This window comes from Homo sapiens, chromosome 1 (genome assembly GCF_000001405.40).
Source record: "Homo sapiens chromosome 1, GRCh38.p14 Primary Assembly".
In the NCBI taxonomy this organism is placed as follows: Eukaryota; Metazoa; Chordata; class Mammalia; order Primates; family Hominidae; genus Homo; species Homo sapiens.
The window spans coordinates 44739107-44739836 of NC_000001.11; the positions used below are offsets into that span (position 1 = coordinate 44739107).

A 730-nucleotide genomic window follows, 5' to 3' on the forward strand; every position below is an offset into this window, starting at 1 on the left:
GTGCTGTGTCCACTAAGGGTTAAATGGAAAAAAAAAAAAAGGAGGACAGGAACTATGTGTCTAGTTCATTATCTCCATTTCCTGGTACCATGCCTAGCAGGTGGTAGACTTCACTCAATAAATATCTGGTGAATCAGTGTCTTTCTGGAAATTTATACATAACTCCTTGAATGAGGCAACATGCTTCTGCACTATTTAATAAGAAAAACTAAGTCAAGTTTCTAATCTGTGGTTTTGTTTTGCTTTGAGAACAGGGTCTTGGCTATGTTGCCCTGTCTGGTCTCGAACTTCTGATCTCGAGCGATCACTCCCACCTCTCCCTTCCTAAGTGTTGGGATTAACAGGAGTGAGCCACCGCGCCCGGCCAAGTCTCCAACTTGCTCGAGGTCACTGAACTTGCAATTGAAGAAGCTACGATTCGAACCCATGTCTGTAGGATCCCAGAGCCCTCATTGTCAAATACATACTGAAGTTTCCCAGTTTTCGGGAACCCCGCAGTACAAGGTGACCGAGGACAATACCAGAAATGGGAGCCCCAGACCCCACGTAGCGGCGAAGTTCCCAGAAGGCACAGCGCTCGGGGGTGTGGCCAGACGCATGGGCGGTGCCAAGCGTAGGAAGATGGTTGGGAACTGCGTCTCCCCCAAGGCTCCGCAGGGCGCCGCTGACTGGCGGAAGCGAGGGCGGGGACAGCGGAATGACGTTTTAAGGACGCTTGCGCGCGGGATTT

At 50.5% G+C, this 730-nt stretch overlaps 1 annotated feature.

Moving 5' to 3' along the window:
* Positions 382-551: an enhancer, noted in NCBI's record as "active region_943". NCBI's record gives its function as "activates an Ori minimal core promoter by ATAC-STARR-seq in GM12878 lymphoblastoid cells {active_cell/tissue: GM12878}" and the evidence as "EXISTENCE:reporter gene assay evidence [ECO:0000049][PMID:35858748]".